This window comes from Homo sapiens, chromosome 11 (genome assembly GCF_000001405.40).
Source record: "Homo sapiens chromosome 11, GRCh38.p14 Primary Assembly".
Taxonomy (NCBI): Eukaryota; Metazoa; Chordata; class Mammalia; order Primates; family Hominidae; genus Homo; species Homo sapiens.
Genome location: NC_000011.10, coordinates 96,384,774 through 96,402,153, shown reverse-complemented (window position 1 = coordinate 96,402,153; position 17,380 = coordinate 96,384,774). Strand labels below are relative to the sequence as shown.

At 38.5% G+C, this 17,380-nt stretch overlaps 2 protein-coding genes across 20 annotated transcripts in view, besides 1 other annotated feature; one reads left to right on the top strand and one right to left on the bottom strand.

Annotated features, from left to right (window-relative positions):
- Nucleotides 1-8,592: 8,592 nt before the first annotated feature.
- JRKL (JRK like) lies at nt 8,593-12,141 on the bottom strand. 2 transcript variants are annotated; one of them, NM_001261833.2, is made up of 2 exons: nt 12,081-12,141; nt 8,593-11,671 (listed from the first exon to the last, which is right to left on the bottom strand). In NM_001261833.2, exon 2 carries the CDS (start codon nt 11,502-11,504, stop codon nt 9,930-9,932), a length of 1,575 nt encoding a protein of 524 aa, NP_001248762.1. In that variant the 5' UTR covers nt 11,505-11,671; nt 12,081-12,141; the 3' UTR covers nt 8,593-9,929. The 2 variants fall into 2 exon arrangements, with proteins under 2 accessions (NP_001248762.1, NP_003763.2); NM_003772.4 differs by having other exon boundaries at nt 8,593-12,141.
- Nucleotides 12,069-12,328: a silencer, noted in NCBI's record as "silent region_3855". NCBI's record gives its function as "represses an Ori minimal core promoter by ATAC-STARR-seq in GM12878 lymphoblastoid cells {active_cell/tissue: GM12878}" and the evidence as "EXISTENCE:reporter gene assay evidence [ECO:0000049][PMID:35858748]".
- Nucleotides 12,242-17,380, top strand: part of CCDC82 (coiled-coil domain containing 82) — a 37,140-nt gene continuing 32,001 nt past the window's right edge. For 3 of the 18 annotated variants that reach the window (NM_024725.4, XM_024448693.2, NM_001318737.3), the window contains exons 1-3: nt 12,242-12,310; nt 14,541-14,624; nt 15,861-15,900. The gene's annotated coding sequence lies outside the window, so the exon portion shown is untranslated. Of the gene's footprint in view, nt 16,218-17,380 lie in introns of all 18 variants that reach the window. The other 15 variants (XM_024448690.2, XM_047427606.1, NM_001363594.2 and 12 more) reach the window with 12 other exon arrangements.

The following is a 17,380-nucleotide window of genomic DNA, read 5'->3' as shown; positions in this document are numbered from 1 at the left end:
TAAAAGGTATATGGAAAAGGGTCCAGTTTCATTTTTGTTCATGTGGCTAACCAGTTAACCTAGCACCACTTATTGAATAAAGAGAGTCCTTTCCCTGTTGCATGTTATTGTTCACTTTGTTGAAGATCAGATGGTTGTAATTGTGTGGCTTTATTTCTAGGTTATCTATTCTGTTCCATTGGTCTATGTGTCTGTTTTTGTACCAGTACCATGCTGCTTTGGTTACTGTAGCCTTGTACTATAAGTTCAGGTACTATTATCCCTCCAGTTTTGTTCTTTTTGCTTAGGATTGCTTTGACTGTTCGTATCCCCATTTTAGAGATTATGAGACTCAAAGAAATTTAGAGATTCACCTGAGATACATGGCTAGGACTTCTGATATCAAGATAAATGGTTGAGAGGGCAGATACTTCATTCTTATCTTACATCAATCATATAAATGATAGAAAATATATATACTCTTTTTTAAAAGAAGCAAATACAGACATCCTTAAAATAGGCAGATAAACTTTCGGATGATCACAAACTGTGTGCAAGAAAATTGTGTTCTATATGTGTAAGTCGTGAAGCTGGAAACAAGACCAATAAGAGCCCTAGCAGAAAGATTCAGACACATAACCTAACCTTCCAGACTAAACATGAGAGGAAAAAAAAAAGGTGTCTATACTCAGGAAGGAGCAGAGCTTGGTGTAATTATTAGGGGGATACCTCTTGTAGCTGCCAAAAAGTCAGAAAAAATGGGGAGCACCCAAGCTCAGAAGACCAGATTCTAAGTCTTCCATCTGGCAAGATATAATATCGATTCCTTATCCTATAAGTGGCTCCAAGCAAACCTTAGCAGATGTTTTTATACTTCCCCAATGTGTGCTGTATAAGCAAAGACCATAGTCTTTCATGGTATTGCAACTGCAGTTAGAAGTACACAATCAAAAATTACCAAATGTTGGAGTATCAACTCTATGAAAGACTGCAAACTCAATAAACGGTAGGGAAGGGACAGGGATAATATAGAAATCAAAAAAATAACTTTTAAATAAGTAAAATTAATATGATCAAATAAAAGAAGATTATTGTATACAAGAAACAGGAATAGGTATTTGTAAAATGAACCATATGGAAAATCTCAAAATGACAATTGGTAGAACTGGGATTCAAATATAGTTGAGTCCCACGTTCTTTCCTCTGATACCACAGTTGCATGCCCCCCCCATACACACACACACAAAAATGCACATACAGAAATATGCACATGCTTATTTGCATATTGTCTTAGTCCATTTGTGATGCTATAACAGGATACTTCAGACTGGGTAACTTACAATTTTTTTTTCCTCATAGTTCTTGAGGCTGAGAAGTCCACAATCAAGGTGCAAGCATCTTGCAAGGGCCCTTTTGTTGTATCACCACATGAGCAGAAGGTGAAAGGGTGATAGAGTGCCCACTCCCAAAAGCCCTTTTGATAACAGCATTAACCCATTCGTTAGGGTAGAGCTTTCATAGCCCAAATACTTCTTAAAGGCCCCACCTCCCAACACCATTAGATTGGTAATTATTATACATTTTAACACAAGCTATAGAAGGGACAAATATTTAAACCATAGTGTTCTGTCTATGGCTCAACAAAAATGCATGTCTTTCTCATAAACAAAATATGTTTGTTCCATCCCAATACCCTCAAAAGTCCTAACTTGTTCCAGCATCAGCTTTAAAGTCTAAGTCCATAGTCTCATCTAAATATCAGCTAAATCAGATAAGGGTGAGTCTCAAAGTACAATTTATCCTGAAGTAAATTCCTATCCAGCTGTAAGCCTGTGAAATCAAACAAGTTATATGCTTCCAAAGTGCAATGATGGAACATGCATAGGATAGACATTCCCATTCCAAAAGAGAGATAGGCAAGAAGAATGGAGTTATAGGCACCAAGTAAGTCTGAAACCCAACAGGGTAAACAACATCAAATCTTAAGGCTTGAGAAAAATATTTGACGCCATGTCCTGACTGGACATACTAGGGTGGATATGCGGCCCCCAAAGCTGAAGGCAGCCCCACCCCAGCTAAACACAGCCCACAATTCAGCTCTCACAGATTGGAGTCAGGTTCCTGTGGCTTTCTCAGCCTGGCACCGCACATTGGTGGCTCTACTGGACCTCAAACATGACACTGCCCCCGTAGCTCCATTAAGCACTACCGTAGTAGAGACTCAGTTACAACCCTTTGCTGGTGGTATGTCTCTGCCTGTGCCCTAAAGCTGTCTCACATCTTTGGAAATCTAGGTGGAGGAAGCCATGCCTCCACAGCTCTTGCATTGTGAGCCTGCAGAATTAGCACTATGTGGACACTGCCAAGGTTTACCACTTGTGCCCTCTAAAGTGGCTGCTTAAGCCAAACCTGGGGCTGCTTGAGCCACAGCTGGGGTGGTCAAGGATTGTTGTAAGCCAGAATGCAGGGAAAGGGGAGCCCAGGGAGCCCTGGGTGGTAAGCTCCTGGAAGTTGCCTCAGGCCAATCCCTTAAACTATTCTGCCCTCAAGGTCCTAGAGCTCAGGGCCTGCGATGTGAGGGGCAGCCTTGAAGATCTTTGAAATGCCACTGGGGTGATTATCGCATTGTCTTGATTAATAGTGCCTGGCTTCCTCCTATCCGTACTAATCTCTTTAGCAACAGTTCTTTGACCACAGCCTTGGTTTTTTTCTCCTAAATGTGCTTTTTCATTCTTTACATTGCCAGGCTAGGGATTTTCCAGTTCTCTACATTCTGCTTCCCTTTTGATTATAAATTCCATTATTAAATAATTTCTCTTCTTGCATTTTACTATGTGTGCTTAAGAGAAGCTTCACAATCCTCCATTTACGCAGCCAACAGACACATGAAAAAATGCTCGTCATCACTGGCCATCAGAGAAATGCAAATCAAAACCACAGTGACATACCATCTCACACCAGTTCGAATGGCGATCATTAAAAAGTCAGGAAACAACAGGTGCTGGAGAGGATGTGGAGAAATAGGAACACTTTTACACTGCTGGTGGGACTGTAAACTAGTTCAACCATTGTGGAAGTCAGTGTGGCGATTCCTCAAGGATCTAGAACTAGAAATACCATTTGACCCAGCCATCCCACTACTGGGTATATACCTAAAGGATTATAAATCATGCTGCTATAAAGACACATGCACACGCATGTTTACTGTAGCACTGTTCACAATAGCAAAGACTTGGAACCAACCCAAATGTCCATCAATGATAGACTGGATTAAGAAATTGTGGCACATATACACCATGGAATACTATGCAGCCATAAAAAGGATGAGTTCATGTCCTTTGTAGGGACATGGATGAAGCTGGAAACCATCATTCTCAGTAAACTATCACAAGGACAAAAAACCAAACACTGCATGTTCTCACTCATAGGTGGGAATTGAACAATGAGAACACTTGGACACAAGAAGGGGAACATCACACACTGGGGCCTGTCATGGGGAGGGATAGCAGTAGGAGATATACCTGATGTAAATGATGAGTTAATGGGTGCAGCACACCAGCATGGCACAAGTATACATATGTAACAAACCTGCACGTTGTGCACATGTACCCTAGAACTTAAAGTATAAAAAAAAAGAGAGAGAGAAGCTTCACAGTCCTCTCAATATTTTGCTGCTTAGAAATCTTTTGCCAGATATCCTAGTTCATTCCTCTTAAATGCTACCTTCTATAAAGCCCTGGGGCATAGACACAATTCAGGCAAGTTTTTTGCTACTTCATAAAAAGATGGCTCTTCCTCTAGTTTCCAATAAGATATTCCTTATTTCCATCTGAGCTGTTACCCATATTGCCCTTAATGCTCCATTTTTGGCAACACAGCGTTTTTCCAGCAGTCACGTCAAAACTATTCAAAAGCTGCTTCCACATTTTCAGATATTTGTTATAGCAACACCCCACTCCTTTGGTACCAATTTCTGTCTTAGTCCATTGTGCTACTATAACAGAATACCTGAGACTGGGGAATTCATAAAGGACAGAAATTTATTTCATCACAGTTCTGGAGGCTGGGATGTTCAAAACCAAGGCCCTGGCATCTGGTGAGGGCCCTCTTGCTGAGTCATCACATGGTGGAAGACAGAAGAGTGAGAGAGTGCTCACTCCCAAAAGTCCTTTTCATAATAGTGTTCATTCATTGACGAGAGTGGAGCACTCATGGCCTAATCACCTAGAAATTACACTACCATCAGATTCGCAATTAAATTTTAACATGAGTTTTGGAGTGGAAAAACATTAGTAATACGGCACTTATTTAGTTTCCCCATTATTATTTTATGCCTAGTCTTGATTTCATGGTTCATCAAAGAAACCCATTATTCTCTTGTTCCTACGTCTACTTTGTTTGCCCTGAAAATGGGCAATCTTGTGGTTCTCAACTCTGGCTGCATTATTTGAGATATCTGGGAACTTAAAAAAAATAAATAAAAGATACACCATAGTCACTTTAGACCAAGTAAATCAGATCCTCTGCGAGTAAGACTCATGTACTGATATTTTTTATAAAAGCTCCCTGAATGGGTTCTATGAGAATAACTGCCCTAATGTACCTATTTTTGTTTCACAAAGGGCTAATTATTCAACAACATTTGTGCCTCCCTTTTGATTATATAAAGTTGTCATTGTGAAACAGCTGCCTAGTTAGGGAGTCATTCCCATCACCCATCCCACCCCCACCCCACATCAAGGTAGGGCCAGGTGACTAGTTTTCACCAATAGAAAGTGAACTGAAAGAATGTATATGGCTTCTGAAAGAAGGGCATTAAGGAACAAGTGTGCACTGTGTATTCTCTCTTTTCCCAACTGCCAACTGGATGCAAAGGATTCTAAGTGTTTAGCAGATGCAAAATCACAAGATGGAAAGCACTTGGGTCCAAGAATCACTTGAAAAAAGTCATGCTTTGACAAAGCTTTATATCATAAGACCACTAAGAGAAAAAGACAAACAACACTTACTGTGTTAAGCCTCTAAAATGTGGGGGTTTCATCAGCTACAGTTACCCAAATCAACAGAGAAATAGGTATCTTGAAGTGGGCTGCTGTTGTGATAATCAAATATGTGGCATTATATTAGTGAGTAGGAAATATGCGTCAAGGAAATAACTAGCAGGCACTGGAAAGATGGAATAGTGGTAAGAAACATGTTGTAAATATTACTTTCAATAACTCGGAAAGCAGACTGACTCTAAGCTTGTGATTCTAGAGCGGTGATTCTCATACAGGCACAATTTTGCCCCCAGGGGACATCTGGCAATGTGTGGAGACATTTCTGGTTGTCATACTGGAGCAGGGAGGAAGTGGCAGGTAGAGACAAGAGATGTTGCTAAGACTCCTTTAATATCCAGTACAGCCCCCCACAACAGAGAGTTATCTGCATCATGATAACCCTGAAGTTAAGAAGCCCTTCTCTAGAGGAAGTGGCTGGAAAGAGCCAGAAAATTAACGTTATTTGCTCCTTGCTGTGTTCAGCAAATAATACAAGAAAGAAGTGAGCTCAGAAAATTAGTCAGTTATAAGCAAAATAAAGCATACCTTTATTCTGACATTCAGTTAAATACCTTGGCTTAGAGAAAGTCCAGAAATCTGGGGGCTTTTGTAGGTTTCAAAAACTATTTCTCCAGACTACAAACAGTAGGAAGGAAATAAGACTGAAAAAGCAAAGCCTCAGTAAGACTTCTCAGTTAAACAAATGGATTCATCCCTGCAGCTAAGATTAAATTAAGGTTTACTTTCCCAACCAAATGTATCCTTTAGATGATCTCTTGGACATTGAGCTAGTGTCTACGAAAATATCTTAAGAATTACAAAACATCATGAAAATATTATTTTTGAAGGCCAACTCAGTTGTTGCCATCTCTACTTCTCATATCAAAATTATTATACCTCCTTATGCCACTCATCAGAATTAGTCTTTCATTTGCACTCTTCCAGTAACACTTAACTCATTCTCCCTTTCTTACATGTCTGTTTCCTCCTTTCCATTGTAAATCTCTTGAATGCAGATAGTCTTAGCCATATATCCCATACATGATCTAGAACATGTCTTATACATGATATACAATTAGTGTTTAAGTATATGTCTGTTGAATATATACTACTCTGCAAAGCATTGATCCCATAGTCTTTGATCTGTAGATGCTTATATTCCAGTATTAAGAGACACAACCACAAGAATCACTTTACAATATGGCAATTCTTATAGAATCTGAGGCACTACAGACACTCATTTTCACATTAGGTGTCACTGTGGAAGAAACTGCTATTGGTCATTCTTCCATCCCAACTTCTTCTTTTTTTTTTTTGAGATGGAGTCTCACACTGTCGCCCAGGCTGGAGTGCAGTGGCGCGATCTCAGCTCACTGCAAGCTCCGTCTCCTGGGTTCACACCATTCTCCTGCCTCAGCCTCAGGAGTAGCTGGGACCACAGGTGTCCACCACCATGCCCGACCATTTTTTTTTCTTTTTCTTTTTTTTTTTTTTTTTTTTGTATTTTTAGTAGAGACGGGGTTTCACCGTGTTAGCCAGGATGGTCCGGATCTCCTTACCTCGTGATCCACCCGCCTCCGCCCCTCAAAGACAGGTGTGAGCCACCGTGCCCTGCAGCTTCCATCCCAACTTCTAATTGCATAGGACTGCCTGAGACTAATTATTAAACAAAGTTGTCATAGACTTCAATAGGAAAAACAGATAAGGGTACATATCTAAGAAGTGTAGTCCGTTAGTCTTAAAGAATTTGCGTGATGATCTTTTAAGGCTGAATCATAACAAACTAAATTTTAATACTTAAGTAGCAATAAGGATACCAAAGGAAAAAAAAAAAAAAAAGAAACCACTACAACTGCCCACTGGAGGAAATGGAGAGAAGAAAGGGCATGTGTATGCATTAGGAAAGGCTAAGAAGAGATACAGATAATAATGTTGCTACTTCAGACCAAGGCAGCTGAGCTGTATTTTGACACTTATGAGTGGCATAAGGAGGTATAATAATTTTGATATGAGTAGAGATGTCAACAACTGAGTTAAATAATTATTTGAACTTCTTAACCCATCTGGGTGGCTCTGACATTATGATGCTAATGGAGAGTTCACTATGGATGGGAAGCAAAGCATTAATTTTAATTTCCCTTCTAGACTAAGTCCAATTTCTCAATTGAATATATAAATCATAGAGCCAGACAGGGTGACTGGATCACATGCAGATAAGGGAAAAGGATGAAGTCACTCAGGAGCAGCAAAAATCAAGACCAATGCATAGCTTAGAATGTAAAGGGTATACAGAATAGAAATCAGAGGAGAAATGAATAAGCAACTAAATCTTGATGGTTTTTTTACATAGCTCACATCTTGTTATGTTGGTTCTTTTATATGAGCTTACAATTGAGGCAGATGGTTTTGGGGTTTTTTTTTTTTTCAAACATGTATAGTTTTTCCACCTTGATTTCAAGATGTTCAAGGAAAGCAACCTCTTCCCTTTCTTTCATATTTTCCTAAACCCACCACAGCTGGCAGTCTTCGACATACAGTAAAACTCAATAAATTTTTAATTTACTGGATTTCATCATGACAAAGAATTCAACTTTCTACAACCCCCTCGCCACAAAAAAGCCCAAATCTCTCAGAAAAAAAAGCAACATTATAATTTCCTACATGATCTTGTATTAGGTATATCTGCTCTCACAAAATTCTTGACTACTGGAAGTGTAAGAAACATTGCACTGTTATTGGCTTTCTGAGAGTATTGTGTCAAGGCATATCAATGAGAAAAAAATTCATGAAACTGGTGAGAGAACATAAGCCAATGGCAAATTTTTAAATAGATAAATAGAATGCCAAACACAGCCTCTGGTAAGGCACTGATAGAATAGGAATTAGGAGCTAAGGATATACAACTTTGGGGGCAGATACAGAACCCAAATAGCTTTTGGCTTCAACTGCTACAACTACTGATCAGCCTTTATAATTAAGGATAGAAGGATCCAAAACAGGGCTAGAGTACCAGTGTTGGCAGATTTCAGAGAATAGCTGTAAACCAAAGAAGAGCAGTCTCTTACAGGCTAGAGAAAGAGTCACAAGATTCACACTTATGGCCACAGAACAGTGAACCTTTTACTGGGGATTCAAGTTTAAAATCACACAGCTTAACAGTAATGTTAGTTTTACCACTAGGTGGCAATGACACAGCTGCATTGGGCTGACATGATTAATTTTAAAAACTGTGCAAATCCAGACAGAAATTCCAAGATCTGTAGTACATATTTTCATTTTAGAAAAATTATTTTATGTACAGCTTACTTTATAGCAGAACGTGTCATTATCTGATTCAATATGTATGTTAACTTCTGATGGTTTTTCACACTCTACACTGAGGAAATTCATGCAATAAACACTATTTTTAAACACTTTCATCACACATCTTCTGAAAAATATAGACATACACCTATCATGAAAATAAGAGAAATTATGGAAAACTAAAAATACTTTTGAAGTTTTAGTATTCTACAGAAAGCACTATAAAATGTTACGTATTTCAACAAAAAAAGTTAAACCTTTAAAAAATGACTAATAGAGAACAATTGTAATTTATTTTTTAAAAATTTTTGGCCAAAACATGAAATAGCATGGAAACACTTTACTTTTAAATTACAAGTTACATTAATATTCATATGTGCAAAGTAGTTTCAATGTCTTGAATAAACATACTTAGTTTACAAAAAAAATTTATCAAAATTCTGATTTAGATTACATTTTAGCAGATTAATCCCTTTTTATATGTATTAAAATAATAAACAATAATATTCCTTAGTGTCTGGCACTTTCAGTAATTATTTCTGCTTTCTTCATAAAACAGGATACAAACATATGACTTATTTAAAATCATAAAACTTTATTATTGTAATTTCCTTTTCTCATCAAAGGGCCAGATATGACAATATTTTTCAAATTATAGACAACATTTGTGAGTATGCAGTAAAAACACTAAAAAAAAAAAAAAAAAAACTTATTAAATCTCAAATTCCCAAGATGTTCCCCCATATAAGGTGGGAGCTCATATCATCACATGTAACATTACAAAACCTGTACTATAAAATTAGATGAATAAATAATAAACCTATACTATTACCAAATTCATAATAAAAAGATCAACTTACCAAATTAAAATCAGCCTATTTATTCCCTTTGTATAAATAACCTAAAGTTCCCCAGGTTTTTATTTCCCAGTTTCCTACAAATGAATTGATCAGAATGCCTCTTTATAGATCAGCTTTCCCATAGTTTCTCTCTCATTTGGCAATAACTTCCCATATTTACTTCATTTCCAGAATAATCTCCCCCTCTTGCAACCCACACAAATGTAAGAGAATGAAGGCATAATTTCTATAATTCATAATTATTTCCCCATTATTGAATTTCATTTTTGAATTATTATAAATCATCCTGAAATCTAATAATATAAATCTTTCTCATCCTATCAGTCTATTAAAATATACAAAACATCATTTAAGATGGTTAACACAAGAAAAGATAACTATGGCAGCCTTCATAAATCAAGCAAAAGATTTCAGAAAAGTGCTTCAGTCTGTTCAGTTATCTCTAACTTTCACTAGAAAATTAAGGGAATGCCACTGTTACAGAAGGTATAATTGCAGATTCTAAAAAGTGAATACATGTGTACATGTAATTTATATCTATTCAGTATCATCTTCTGATTATCTGTACAAATAAAAGGACAAAAGACACAGATGATGAAAACACATAATCCTCAAACCACTTCAGATACATTTTGTGCCTGTATTTCACAGGACCAAGTCTGAGAATTCAGAACACAAAGAAAATTAAGCCATATTGCAAAGAGTTTGTCACAAACACAATGAGCAGAACAATAAAATTGAAATGACATTATTGACTTGACTTTGTCATCTTCTGTTTATTTCTGATGGTGGCTCGAAGTTTACGTATTACCAGTCTATCAGGTAGAATCATATCACCTTGTTGTTCTAGATAATCCAATAAATTTTCAGTCCACTGGAGGGCAGCTGCATGATTAATATGTTTCTCTGGAATTAGTTCTATTTCCTCCTCCTCATTTTCACTGGATTCATCTGCCTGGCCTTGTGCTCTTCTGATGATTTCGCTATCAGTTAACACTTCATAGCCTGGTTCAGTACTGTCTACTTCAAGCCATTTTTCAAGGTTCTCAGTAGTCACATTTTCCAATCCTTTGGTGTGTTGTAAAATGGCAGCCACAGTAGCCACAGAAATATCTTCAACATCAAAGTCCAGGCTCTCTTTCTCCTCTACCATAGGGAGAATCTTCTTCCATGCTCTGCTAATGGTAACTGGTTTTACTAAGTTCCATGCCATTGCTATTTCATAAAGTGCATCCAACAGAGTTAGCTTCTTCCAGAATGATTTCAGGTCATTACCTTCTTCCAAGTTGTTCTGGAGAAGACCTGCACGATAATTTCTCTTCATCGTTGCTATGACTCCCTGATCTGAAGGCTGAATCAATGAGGCCACATTAGGTGGTAAATATTTAGCAAATATTTGGCCATCATCTGACCTTAGGACATTTTCATTTGGATGTGTTGGTGAATTATCCAACAAGAGCACAGCCTTTTCCTGCAAGCCTTTAGATCTTAAATACTCTCGAACTTGCGGCACAAAAATTTTATCAAACCATTGTCGGAAAATGGAAAGATCCATCCATGCACCTTTTTGGCTGAAATAAGAGACTGGCAGGTTTAAGGTGTCAGTTGATTTAAAGGAGCGAGGTTTCTTTGCTTTCCCCACAACACAAAGTTTAAGTTTGTGTAAACCTGTTGCATTGGCACAACACATGATTGTGACTCTTTCTTCAATTGATTTGTGCCCAGGGACAGTGCATTTACCTTTGATTACTGAAATCCTAGAAGGCAAGCACTTCCAAAAGAGTCCAGTTTCATCTGCATTGTAGATTTGTTCAGGCTGTAAATTCTCTCGTTCAATAAAATCTCGAAAGTTATTACAAAAATCTTCCACCGCAGTCTCATCTCCATTTAATCTTTCATTTCTAATGTTAATCTCTCTAATGCTGTGCCGCTGCTTAAAACGAGTTAGCCAACCGGCAGAGGGGTTAAAATCACCATCCATTCCCAAAGCATAAAAGAAGAACTCTGCCCTTTTTGCACAAATTGGTCCAGATATGGGATTCCCTTTTGCTCTTTGCTGGTTGAACCATTCCAGCATTGCCCTGTCCAATTCCTCATACATGGATGGCTTCATAGATTTCCTCTTGGCCAAAAGACTTGTGGAATCAGAACTGCTTGCATAAGTTATAATCTTTTCCTTATTTTTTCTTATATCCCGAACTGTTGTTTCACCAATTCCATAAATCACTGCCAGTTGTTTGGAAGAACCTCCGTCTTCAAGTTTCTTTATTATATCAAGCTTATCTTTAATAGTCAACACCACACGCTTCCGTTTCCCTGACATAGCGAGGTTCTGGGACTCACCCCACACTCACAATGTAGCAATCCACAAAATCCTTCCTTCTCTTACACAGGCTCACTTCAACAGTCTTAACACACTCAGTCTTTCATCCTTACCAGCAACCTGGTGGCCCTGATCCCCTCCCGGGCTGGGGTTGGCTGGCAAATAGACTGCAGAAGAAGGTGAAAGAGGAGGAAGTTTGAGAGAACAGGCCTTTCTTTAACTTATACGGGCAGTAGCGGAGGCCCCATGTCACCGCGGATAATCCGGATTAAAAGCATGTGTTTTATTACCCCAGCAGCCGTGAGAAAGACTATACCCCCATTGTGGCCACGAACCTCCTGCACGTCCAGATCCCGGGTAACCGCGCGTCACTAACCCCTGCCACACCCCAAAGTTACGACAGAGAGCCGAAGAGCCTAGGAGTCAAGGACTGGCACCCTTCCTCAGGGGAACGGATATATTAGATTCCTTCCCCAGCAGCAGGGCCCTCCCGCCGCGCAGCCCCAGTTTCCCGCGCCAGCTTTAGCCGGGACAGTCCTCCCAGTCCCTCAAAACCCGCCAGGCCCCTCTCCCCACCTCTCTTGCAACCAGGACCCGCACAGCTCCCTGACTATCGCGCGGCAGTCGCTCCGCCCCTAGCCACGCTCCCGGAAGATGATCCCTCCCGCCGCCTGGCCCCACCCCTCGCCCCACCCAGAGGCGGGACTTCCCTTGGTCCCCGGAAGGGGGGGAGGAGCATCGCTTGTCCTGAGCTGGTTGCCGGGGCAGGGGCGGAGGCGGAGGCAGAGGTGGAGGCGCTTTGAAAGGTGAGAGCGCGAGGGCGGTGCGGGGCTGTCTCCCGGCTGGGACTCGCTCGCGCTCCCGGTGCTAATGGTTTATGAGAGGGGCGGGGGAAGCCGTGCCTCCTCGCGGACTAAGAGAAAAATTCCCGCGGGCGCTCTTTGGGTGGGCCGGAGAACGCCCCTCAGCCCTTTGCGCCTCTAACCCTCCTCAGCTGAGCTGCAGTGGGCGCGGTGCCCGTTATTTCCGCCTTGGGGAGGTGCTTGGAACTGATGTAGGGAGCTCGGTTGGTGATTTCTCGGGTTTCTGGCCTTTCCAGACCCTTGTAATTGTTTTCTCGGTGCAGAGCTCTTTTGGGGTCTGGGGGTTTCCGTCGTCCTGCGCGCGTCATCGCGAAGCTTGGCCTGAGGGTCCGGTTTCCTAGCTACTGTGCCCCTCCCTCCTGGAGGCAGAGTGACGGACTAGTGGGCTAGCGGGCGCTGGGTTCCTGCGTCCCGCCAAAGAGGTTTGTAATCATGAAAGTCACCCTTCCGGGTGTTAATTCCTGAGAGGATCTATTCCACTGTCTACCACTCATTCCTGCTGCATTAACCTTCATTGTTAACGGATTTTAATGAATAATATAGTTATCCCGGATACCATGCTGGCAGGATCCACTTTGCGAAATTGTGGACTGTTGGACTGTGATTCTAAGTGGGGGAAATAGGCTTTCCTCTCTTTATGTTTATTTTCTTATATCCTATTTCTGTCATGTTCTGTCTTGTTTTCCTGCCAATAGAAGAACTATGATAAATTTATTCATAGCAGTGTGATAAGAACTTGATCTTAATCATACACTGTAGCCCTCAAATCGTGTATTATGCTGGCTTGTTTTTGGTGTCCCTAGTAATTTCATCAGATTGTGAGCTCCTTGGGAGCAGAGACCATGTTTATTTGAAATGGTGGCAGCACAGTTCCTAGCAGGTGCTTGCATTTTGGTAGATATTCAATAATTATTTTTCGGCTTATTAATCTTTGCTCTCCAAACTGCCATATAAAAGAAAACATCGAAGAGGAGTGATGTTTTACACCCAAGAATGGATCCCTCCTGGTAGAATTTCAAATAATGACCTGGGGTTCCACTGCCTTTCAAATCTGTAAAGTGTTAACTACCACCTGCATTGTTTATACAGCAAGTAGGTGATTTCTAGAATGAATCTTTTCTTGAGTATGAATTAACCTCAAAGTTTAGAAGGAACTATATTTCTTCTGATGAGAAAGTCAAATGGCATCATCAAAGTACTTTTAGCTATAGAGTTACTGTGTTAGAGAAAGAACACAAGCAATATGGATTATTGTCTTTAATATATATTCTTTGGCAGATAACATAGCTATGTATGTGCATCTTATATTAACCATGAAACACAAAGATGTGATAGTATTGATCATCTTCATTCACTTATTTAATGCTTTCTGTTTGGAGTCTCTGTTTTTCTCTTTGCTTAAAGGTAAGGTATCATTACAGAAGCTCGATAAAATTCTCATTTCAGGAAATTAAGTGTATATTCAACATATACAGAAGTAACATTCATTTGCATGGATTCTCTTTTGAGTAGATTCTGAAGACCAAGAGGTATCTTACCCATCAAACTAGCTTTCCTTCACATTTCTCTTCCGAGGTTCACTCACCTTTTCCCTCCGTTATCATTCTTCCCTTCCCAGCTAATATAGTAAAGCTACCTACAATTTAAAAAGAAGAGCCAAACATATTCAAAGTGTCTTTCCTTTTCAGTAACAGAATTTTTTACCTTACTGATATAAATGGTCATTTTGAAATATGAGAGACCCTGGCAATTTGGCAGTTGGTCCAATGAAACCTGATTTATTTTGTTTAAATAAAAGATGCTGCCTCAGGCATTCAAATTCTGCAGTTTTCCAAAATATGTTTCTCATCAGAGACTGCCTTTCTTTGAAATTTTACTTTTGGGCTCACTGGGGACTCCTTTAAATTTTGCAATTGGTGTTATTAATAAGATGATAAGAGGGAAGTCTGCAAATACTCTTTTCTTGCCTGGTGGATAATAATTTACAGAAGTTTCTGGCCTAACTCGTGCAGTAAAATTCGGTTACATAATTTTTTAAAAAAGCATATTTGTAAACTCTAAACCATTTTAATCGTTATTTTTCTGAAACTAAAATACAGCATGAATGAGAGATAAAAATAATGATTTTTAAAGGCTTAATTTTTACTATCTTGTACAAATGTGATATTGGCAGCCGTCATTGTGTGGCACTGGACGGGGAATCAAGAGACCCGGTTTCTAATCCCTGCTCTGTCACTAACAAGCTGCGTGATCTTCGGTAAGTCATTTAAACTCTATGTCCTTGGCTTTGATATTTACACATAAAAATAGATATCTTCCTTCTAGGATCATTGTCAGGATTTAAAAATCAATGTGAAAATGCACTAAAAACTTAAAGTTTCTTTTATGGCTTAACTGTGCAGTCATAAGTTTTTAATAGTGTGATTCTTAATCATTTCCACCATTGTCATAGGAATCACCTGTTTCATGATAAATAACTGACATTCTGGGCATGTTATAGTTTTGTAAGATAATCATCTAGTGTATATGAATTTGCTTTTGGGTACTAATAAAAATCATCGTTAACTTTAATGTTCTTTACTGTCCATATTTGCTTTAGTGTATCTACTGCAACCATATTTGTCATTGTTTTCATAAATGTTTTTTCATTATTTCTCCCAATTCAAACAGGTTTATTAGAAAGCCATGCTTTGTTATTACAATGTGATATACTACACGTGCACATATGCACACTTAGCTTACGCAAATTTATGTGTTTACAAATACTTTTTTGTACTATACAGCTTAAAAATGTAAGATGCCTAGTTCGTGTGGTGCTAAACCAAAGAAACAGTAAGCTGCTTAAAACCTGGAGGAGAAACTGGGTGGACGTATTGTAACGCAGTATAGTGTACACAAAACCATACTTTAATATAGAGATTTTTTTAAAGGGTAATTTTGACTACACACAATTTTCATCTTTGCTGATTTTAATATAAGCCTTTTGTAAGATGCAACCCAAGGGTAATTTCAAATAGCAGACTGCCCTGTTGACCAGAATTTGTTAGATTGCTATTACAATGCTGATTATATTTTATAGCAATTACTGACATAAGGTTATACTTTGGGCAATGGCTCATGCCTGTAATCCCAGCACTGAGGCCAAGGTGGGAGGATCACTTGAGGTCAGGAGATCAGGACATAGTGAGACCTCCATCTCTACAAAAAATTTAAAAATCGAAACATATCGCTTGAGCCCCAGGAGTTCAAGGCTGTAGTAATCTATGATCATGCCACTGCACTCCAGCCTGGACAACAGGACAAGACCTATCTCTTAAAAAAATAAAAGTTATATTTCATCCTACACGCTATAATTTCTGCTGTATAATTTTGGCAGCCCCCGTTCTGATTTTACATGAGGTGTTAACCATTATACAGAAAGTCTTATTGCCGTATAAACATACCAGAATTTGTACAATTAAATGAGCTGTATCCTCTCTTCCACAATCTATAGGAAAAAAGTAATCCTCTTGGAAAGCTGGAAACATAGTCCGGTAAGATTCCCATTGCTCAAAAAATTTTTGGCATTGAATTTTTGTAATTACCTTCAGAATTCGCAGCACATTTTTTGAAGATTTTTAATGGTAGTTAATTCTCATCTTCTTAAGTTGGATTTCATTTCTGCAAGCTGCTAACAGGTCCTTATAACCGAGACAAGTGAATGAAGTGGGTGTTAAAGTCACTGTTTGGGATAAAAAATGAAGTGTGATTATTTTCATATTTTTAGATTTTTTATAGTGTGTGGTTTATAGAAAGACTCCAGGAATATTCTGTGCTGTGGTGGAAATATTGGAATAATCAGCCTCATAAGGTGATTTCTTTGGTGGGGATAGCTGTCAGTTCAATATATACCTCTAACATGTAGTTTGAGGTCGGTCTCATTACATTGTCATATTTCTATTCCCTAACAACCACAGAACTACATATGTTATTTTTTCTAGTTATCTTACGTGTCACTAATTGTTCTTTTAATATATACTTGTGATAATTTTAATGGAATTCATTCTTTTCTAAATGATAAACTGACAGCTTTTGTTTTCCTTCCCAATACTATGCTCTGCTTTGCCGTGGAACTTACTTGTTTTATTCACTTAACTACATTATTGGATTGTTAGTTAAGTTTTCTATTGGTTATATTGTGTATTTAACTTTGAGGGGAAAGCCACTCCCATTTTACTAAGGTATAAAGAGGCTACAATCTTAGTGGATATATTATCTCTCAATTTTTCACTGCTGTCTTCTTTATGTCATTTGTTACTTTATAACTTTCTTCGTGTAAATTGATCTTTTATACTTTATATCATTTCTCTATTCAGAATCCTTTGCCTACAGGGTGAGTCATCCTGGTAATCCCATTCAGTTTTCTATTCTTTTCTCCTTTTTTCCAGCATAAAACTCTTTTTTATACATTTTAAGCCATGCTTATTTACTGAACATACCATCTTCTTTCTTAAAGCCAGAGTTTGCCCTTACCATATTACTTGCCTGACATCCCTTTTTCTTTCGTTCTTTCTGTTCAAATACAATGAATCCTTCAGAATGCTATTAGATCACATCTGTTCAAGATAAAGTGAAGCACTTGCCTTACTGATCTCCCTGCATCTTTCCACTTCTCTTGCAGTTATTTATGTTATTCATTTGATACTAAATATTACCTTGAAATTTTCTTAATTATTATATGTTTTAGATATTTTAGTTCTACATATAGATAATAATCTTCTGAAGGACAGCACCATGATTTTTCTATGTATCCCTTGCAGCACAACATACAACGTAATTCAGAGTAGATGTTCATATAATTATTTCATGGGCATTCAGTAAATTATTTGTTAAATTAATGTTCTACCATCTTCACTCAGATATTTCATGTGATTTTGTGTTTGTGGACCATTAAATAAAGCCAAATAAATATAATTTATACCATAAATGCATTCATTGCTCTAATCTGGTTATCACTGTTATATTCCTAACAAC

Coding starts and splice junctions, on each gene's coding strand:
- JRKL (NM_003772.4), bottom strand. CDS start 11,504: ATGTCAGGGAAACGGAAGCGTGTGGTGTTGACTATTAAAGATAAGCTT.